This window comes from Homo sapiens, chromosome 6 (genome assembly GCF_000001405.40).
Source record: "Homo sapiens chromosome 6, GRCh38.p14 Primary Assembly".
In the NCBI taxonomy this organism is placed as follows: Eukaryota; Metazoa; Chordata; class Mammalia; order Primates; family Hominidae; genus Homo; species Homo sapiens.
Window position 1 is genome coordinate 142,701,923 of NC_000006.12, and position 8,408 is coordinate 142,710,330.

At 39.6% G+C, this 8,408-nt stretch overlaps 1 annotated feature.

Annotated features, from left to right (window-relative positions):
- Positions 660–889: an enhancer, noted in NCBI's record as "active region_25178". NCBI's record gives its function as "activates an Ori minimal core promoter by ATAC-STARR-seq in GM12878 lymphoblastoid cells {active_cell/tissue: GM12878}" and the evidence as "EXISTENCE:reporter gene assay evidence [ECO:0000049][PMID:35858748]".

Genomic DNA, 8,408 nt, shown 5'->3' on the forward strand with positions numbered 1-8,408 from the left:
ATTTGAATCCAAAGCCTATAGTTTTCACCACAGTGCCATGAATTGTGACTGCTATAAATAACAATGACAACAAAAACCATAATACTTGCATATCTGCTTTAATGTATTTCTTCCAAAAGCACAAATCGTGGCCATTCAGACTGGTTTACTTTATTTTTTTCTCCAGCTTTATTGAGACATGATTGACAAATAAAAATTGTGTATTTTCAAGGTGTGCAACGTGATGATTTGATATACATATACATTATAAGTGATTACCACATCAGTTCACTTCCAGAAGCCTTCATATAACCGCTTATTGGCAACTTCCTCATATCTCTGTATTTCCATTCATTAATTTGGCCCTAATAATTTCAACAGCTATAAAAAATAACAGCAAGTCCAGACCTTCTCTGACAATGAAGCTGCCTCCATTTTTCCAAGATCAAGAGTTGCGGCTGGTTGTGGTGACCCAGGCCTGTAATCCCAGCACTTTGGGAGGCCGAGGTGAAATATTTAAATTAAAAAAAAAAAAAAAAGGTGCAACGTCTTTGTCATTCCTCTGTGCTCTGTTTTCAGTCATATTATTTTCTTCATCATCGTTACTGACCTGCTTCCTCCCTCAAGACTGTTCAAACTCCTCTGGCTTCTGGAAATGGTCTCTGTTACTGTAAGTGGTCAGAGACAGAAGGGCCATGAACGTGGCCTAACCCACTCCAGGAAACCCATCACCTTTTCAACTTCCCCTTTCCTCACGCCTCCTCCCTCCCCCAGCTGCTCTCCCTACTCCTTCGCTTCCTCATTTGCAGCATAAGAAAATGTGCCCGGGAAACCAGCACAGGACAAATCCTGGAACACACTCAACATTGTACTTCCCATGAAGAGAGCAGTCACGTCTGGGCCTAGAAGCTCACAGTCAGCCTCCGGGGCTCTGAGGAGAAGGGGCCATTACCTCAGCCTCCCAGAGACAGACTCAGGCGCCCTGGCACCGCCACACACAGTGACACTGCCTGGCAGGGGGCTGTTTTTCACTGTCTCTACTGTCTGTGTGACTCCTGCAGCTGCCTCCAGTTCTCTAATCCAATCAGAGCTACATTGTCCTGTTTCTGTTATATTCATGCTCAGATTGCCAGACACAAGATATTTATCAATTCTGGCAAACCTGTCTCTCTCAAGAGAGGCCATCTCTGAGTCAGGCTGAGCTGCCTTACCTGCCCAGACTGTTCAGGGTCTTTCTTGGGTAAGACTCCACTTTCTATGCCTTTTCCAATTCATTCACATTCCTTCATGCTCTCCAGGATCCTTGGGGGCAATTTAGTGCCCTTGATAACGTCTTGAGTGTGGTGGAAAGCCCCACTTCCTGCAGGGTGGTGCATGACATGGAAAGGCTGAGCTCCTCTGTTGACAGCATTCAGTCAAGGACTTACTGACGTGTTGTAACAAGCCATCTCCAAACCCGTCTGGTGGAAAACTGATGTACCTGTTCAAGGGGTGCAGACAATATTTAGAAGTTTTCCCCAAAAGTTATAATTACATTTTTCTTTCAAGTAAGACACAATAATGACCTCCCCCCCACCCCCCGCAACATGCGCGCGCACGCACACACACACACGTTCTAATTCCCGGAACCCTGTGAATATGTGACCTTACCTGGCAAAGGGGACATTGCAGCTGTGATAAGTTAAGGATCCAGAGTTGAGGAGCGTATACTGGATTATTCAGGTGGGGTCAATGTATTCACATGGGTCCTTAACTATCAGAGTAACTTTCCTAGCTGTGATCAGAGAGAGGTGGCTAAGACAAGGCAACACTGCTGGCTTTGAAGATGAAGAAAGAGAATGTGAGCCAAGGAATAAAGACAGCTTCTGGAAGCCAGAAAAGGCAAGAGAATGATTGTCCCCTAGAGCCTCTGGAAAGAAGGCAGCCCTCCAGTCACCTTGCTTTTACCCCAGTGAGAGCTGTGTGGGGCTTCCGACATCTAGAACTGTAAGATAATGAATTTGTGTTGTGTTAAGCCACTACATTTGTGGTGATTTGTTATGGTGGAGGTGGGAAACTCATATAGGCCTAAAAGAAGGAACAGGTAGTTCAAGGACCTTTTCTTCTTAGAGCCACATTAGATAAGAAATTATCAAATACCCACCTCTTAATTGGCAGTTACCCTCTCAACAGGCAACTGTCACAACATCTATGAAAAAGATAAGGTCATTGTGTCATCAAATGGGACTTGCTGCTATTTCCTGAAGAGATTCAACATGAGAAAGTTTGAAAAAAAAAAAAGAAAAAATGTAAAAGACCAACATTATCCAAACGACTTAGGAATATCTGTTGCTACTGACTGGGAAAAACATGGACTGTTACATATTAATTTTAACCCTGAGCTCATTTCCAATGCAAACTGTTAACCTTTAACAGCAATGTTCTTTTTGATTACAAAGGAAATAAGCACAATGCAGAGTTAAACATTTTGTTTTCTAGAGTCTGAAAGACATAAAGGAATACTGGAATTCTTTGAGATCATTTGGAGTCAGGGCGACTTGGTTAATGTCAACTCACAATTAAGGCTGGAGAACCTGTCTGCAGCCCATATTGTGGCATTTGGGAATTATGCAGGGCCCAGTCATCAAACTTTCAAGTGGAGAAAACTAGATCCAATGCCATTCTGGTATGAAGTGGTTACACTTGTCCAAATTTGATCAAGAGTGTTTAAAGCAAATGTCAAGGTAATTGAAACTTTCTCTTGTCATTCGAGTTTCATTTCACACCTTCTCCCAAATATTACAAAAGTGAATTTTCTTTGCCCCAGCCCTTGAATATGGCATCAAAAAAAAAAACAGCTTTGTGTTCTTTTATTACTTATCTTTATTTTAATTGTAAAAAAATTGAGTTAATAAAAATTGCTACTATTTACTGAGCAACTATTATGTGCCAGTCACCTGAGATTCACTATCTCATTTAATCCCTCAATTAAGGATTATTATTTCCATTCATTACATGAAAAAAATGAGGTTGGAAAGTCTAAATGACTTGCCCAAACTCACAGAGTGAGAGGTGGTGAATGCCAGAACATCTTCACCGCTCCTTGGTCCAGGGGCTCTTGGTTCACTCATTATTTCCTATGTTTCTTTAGTATGAAATATAGTCAAAGCCAAAAAGAAGTGTAAAATAAAATTTATTAGTAACCGGTGGGTCCACTATGAGTTTATGAGTCCATGCCCCCACCTCAAATTTGGGCTTCCCATAGCAGTATGCAGAGAGGACCACCAGCTTCCCTCTCTGGGGTAGACGAATAGGGAACTAACAAACCTCTTCCTCATTTTTAAGTGTGGCTTAAGCAGTCAGTAATTAAATTTATCTTGTGATACGGCATCCTGAGAGGCCTGGAAGGGTAGGAATACCAACATGGCCTGAAGGCACATGTCACAATTGAGGATCACAAGTTACTTTAGTTTTATCAGTGCTTCCTAAAAATGTTTTCCTAGTATCCTAGTGCCATGCACATTGGTGTATTTGCTGTATCAAGGTAGTTAGCCCTCAGATGTTTCCTCTTCTATAGTTCCTGGCCCACCCTCCACTCTTTACATCAAAATAATTATTTCACAGAGGTTTTCTACTGCAATGGCTGCTGGGGAATAATTCCTCAACTCTCTCCTTTCTTACCTTCCTTTTAGCTGCCTTAATTCTGCTCCATCTTGCAATTTCATTGGCCAGTCTTAATTTCTCCAATTTGCTGTGTAGTTGCCATGATGTTATGATTTCCTTGTGAATCACATTACAATGTCTGGAGCTCCGTTCAGGTGGCTGGAGGACTTTCAGCAAAGAATTAGTAATAATAGTATGATTGCATTGTCTGCTACAAGAACAACCAAGAATAAAATACAGTGAATTCATTTTTTCTGGTTCTAGTCACTTAAGTTTTGCTATCCAGCAGGAACAATGCTGTTTTCGCTAAGGAGCCCACCTTAGCTCATTGGTGTAGTGATCAATACTTATGACATTTTATCACTTACGTAGGTATATAATTAATATGATACAATTACTGTTTATATGCTGTGGCAGTGGATTTAAAAAACACGAGAGGTGATAAGACAATGAGTTTAGGGTTTTTGTTTGGGTTTGGTTTTGAGTTATGTTCCCAGGCTCAGAAGAATCACTAGCATTATGGGCAGTATACCTGTAGATGGGTCAAAATATGACAGTAAATGCCTTGTGAGAAAGTAGGTCACTTCTTGCGGAGATTGTTCTAATGCAAGAAATAAAAGAGAAAGCAATCCATCTGGGATCTGGCCTTTCATTTTTCTGATTTAGAGTTCGGGCCGAAATGTAAGAAAACCTGCATTCTGTTCCTGTGCTTAGTACTCATTCTTCCAGGATTCCTCAGGGTTACAAGTAATAAAACAGGCAGAGAATTGCAAGCAAGAAGACACAAACTTCCTTCTAAAATATTGGACAAGGCCAACCTCTATAGTCAGACTAATACAGAGTGAAATTCAGGAACAATGATACCAGCAAACAAAACCAAAACGAAACAGAAAGCTGTATGCCAACTCAACATCAGGAAATATGACTACCTATAATTTGCCTTAATAATATCTGAATGAAATGTAGAAATTATAAGTAGGAGAGATTAAAAATAAATTACAAAATTTACAGGTGCTAGACTAAGTGTAATCAGACTTCAAACACATCCAGATTAAATATCAAAGGCCTTGATGTAAAATATTTCATTAAGGGAAGCTGAGAAAGCCTTGGCATACTAAAATAAGAGAAGAACAAACATTAATAATAACTTTGTTATAAGGATGACTGATACCTGTAGTAACCATGCACAAAATTTTCTTTGGAGTTATTATTTTCCCCAAATTTCAGTATTTCTAATGCACATCTCAAGGTCATAATTTTTCTTCTATTTCTGAAGTTTAGCAAACACATTACGAATTCCCTGGAAGGGGCTAGAGCATGGGAAGATAAAGGCAAGGGGCTAATATTTTCTTCAGATAACTGACCAAGAAACAGTGAAGATGTGTTGAGTGATATCTTCAAAATCATGTATTAGACTTTTACTTCTAGAAGATGAAATGGTTTGCACCAAACCAATTATTAAGAACAAACAGAAAAGCCAGATAAAATATTTTTTAAAAAAGTCAGGAACAACAACCCTCTACTTGAAGGCATTGGAAAGAGACTGAGGCAACCAGGATTTGACGAACCAACATCCTGGAGAGAAGAGAAAAAGGAGAAACAGAGAGCTGAGCTGATATTCTACAAGCAGGTTTTCCCCTTAGAGCAATTGACAGATTTTGGCTTGAAACCAGAAGTTAAGAATCCACTTTACAGGACTGAGCTAATAAACAGAGAAATAAACAGAGCTTATAGAAATCTCACACGGCTGTAGACAAAAAAAAACACACAAAAGAGAAAACAAAACAAAAATAGTAAGATGGGATGGTGGGGGGAGGGGGACGGGGGGGCAGTTGCCAAAGTATCCAAGACTTAAGGGAACAGAATCCAGGAGAGAAGGGTAGCAGGAGGAAGTAGACTAGATATACTCATTTTCTCCAAGAGGCATTTGCTGATTTTTTCTTAAGCTGCATAAGACAAGAAGCAGAGCAGGAAGTCACAGAAAATCAGAGCAGAGTTTTTGACCTTCTCACAGAGTTGAAGTGGCAAAAATTGGAGTTCAGAACCTGTCAAGGTGGAGAAGCCCCAGTCAATACTCCAGGATCTCAGCTGAGACTTCTGGGGGCTACACCCCAATGAGGAGTGAACCAGAAGTCGATGCAACTGTCAGAACTTCAGAACAATGTATACACTCACACATACAGACACCCTATTGGTTGTGTTTCTCTGGAGAACACTGACCAATAAAGAGCAAAGGACTCAAATGGGAACAGGAGAAAGCTTTAATTCATGTAACTGGAACTCCAGAGGCAAGGAGAGAATGACAATGAGGAAGAAACACTATTTGAAGGTATAATGGCTTAGTATTTATCAAACCCAATGAAGGACTTGAGCCACAGATTGATTCAAGGAGCATTATAAAAACCAAATTGGAGAAATACTAAGAAAACCATACCTAGGCACCCCACTGCTAAAAACAAGAAAAAGAGTTTCTTGGGAATGATGTCAGCAAAATGGCGGAGTAGGCAGCTCCAAGATCCAGTACCCCCAAAAAAACATCAAAAAAAACAGCAAAAACTATCAGAACCAAATATATAAGAATGTTGAGAAAGAGTCATGATTTGCAGCAACTTAAGAAAATGTGGAATTAAGAAAAAGGCAACTTTTAAAACTTCCTGGCATTCAAGGAAATCTTTGTCAAATTGCCAATGGGACACAAACTAAGGGACAGAGATTTCAGTGATACCACACTTCAGAATTTAGGAAACCTCATATTTTTGGTGGGAGTATAAAATGAAGCAGCCACTGTAGAAAACAGTTCAGCTGTTTCTCCTGAAGTTAACATAGAATATCATATTATCCAGCAATTTTTCTCCTAGGTATATACCCAAAATATTAAAAACAAGGACTCAAATGGATACTTGTATGCCAATATTCATTGCAGGATTATTCACAATAGCCAAAAGGTAAAACAACCTAAATGTCCACCAACAGATGAATGGATAAACAAGACAATATATCCATACAATGGAATGTCAATCAGCCATAAAAGGAATGAAGTTCTAATACGTGCTACATCACATATGAACCATGAAAACATGCTAAGTGAAAGAAGTCAGTCACAAAAAAGTAAATATTATTATTCCATTTATATAAAATTCCTACAATAGACAAAATTATAGAGACAGCAGATAGAATAGAGATTACCAGAAGCTGGGGAAAGGCTGTAATGGGAATTTATTGCTTAATGGATATGGAGTTTCTGTCTGCGATGACGGAAAAGTTTTGAAAATAGTTGTGATGGTCACACAACATTAAAAGTTGCTAGATAAGATGGGAACCTTATTTTCAAAGGATCAATGACACTGACAGCTGACTCCTCTAGAGAAACAAGTAATCAGAAGATAACATACTAATATGTTTAAAGTGTTTTAAAGTGCCAGATCTACCAAGAATTCAATAATAGTGAAAATATTCTTTACCAGTAAAAGGTAAGTAAAGGCACTTCTAGGAAAAAAACTGATTTTTTTTTTTACTTTTATGTTAAATTCAGGGAAACATGTGCAGGATGTGCAGGATTTTTACACAGGAAAACGTATCTCATAAGGGTTTATTGTACAGATTATTTCATCACCCAGGCATTAAACACAGTATCCATTAGTTATTTTTCCTGATTCTCTCCCTCATCCCACTTTCCACCCTCCAATAGGCCCCAGTGTGTGTTGTTCCACTCTATGTGTCCATGTGTTCTCATTATTTAGATTCCACTTATAAGTGAGAACATGCAGTATTTGGTTTTCTGTTCCTGCATTAGTTTGCTAAGGATAATGGCCTCCAGCTCCATCCATGTCCCTGCAAAGGACATGATCTCATTCTTTTTATGGCTGTATAGTATTCCGTGGTGTATATGTATCACATTTTCTTTATGCAGTCTATCATTGACAGGCACTTGGATTGATTCCATGTCTTTCCTATTGTGAATAGGGCTGCAGTAAGCATATGCATCCATGTGTCTTTACAATCGAATGATTTATATTCCTTTGGGTATATACCCAGTAATAGGGATTGCTCGGTTGAATGATATTTCTGTTTTTAGGTCTTTGAGGAAATGCCACACTGTCTTCTACAATGATTGTACTAATTTACACCCCTACCAACAGTGTATAAGCATTCCTTTTTCTCTACAAACTTGCTGGCATCTCTTATTTTTTGACCTTTTAATAATAGCCTTTTTGACTGGTGTGAGATGGTATCTCATTATGGTTTTGATTTTCATTTTTCCAATAATCAGTGATGTTGAGCTTTTTTAAAAATTTTTTTGTAGAGATGGGGTCTTGCCCTGTTGCCCCAGGCTGGTCTCAAACTCCTGGGCTCCAGCAACCTTCCTGCCACGGCCTCCCGAAGTGCTGGGATTATAGGTGTGAGCTACTGCACCTGGCCTCTGCCATTTCCTTTGTCTCTTTACCAACATTCAGCACAAGGATGTCCTTCATCAAATTATTAAGACTAAGGGTCAAGACAATTGCTAGAAATTAGCCTGAGCTTAACCCAAGTTCGTCTTCTGCCCTGTGCAGCACTACCATGTATCTTATTCATCCCCCTCATTAGCCTACCTACCTCATTCACACCCCATTTAGTGTTTCCACAATGGCTGATGGAAGCCTAATGCAACCAATATCCCAGTAGGAAGTCATTAACTACCATCTCCCCTTTACAACTACTAAGAGAGAGCATACCAAAATAATGGTACACTCCCTGCCACCCCCATTCTATCCAGCACTCAACAGTGAGGATCCTGACACTCGGTC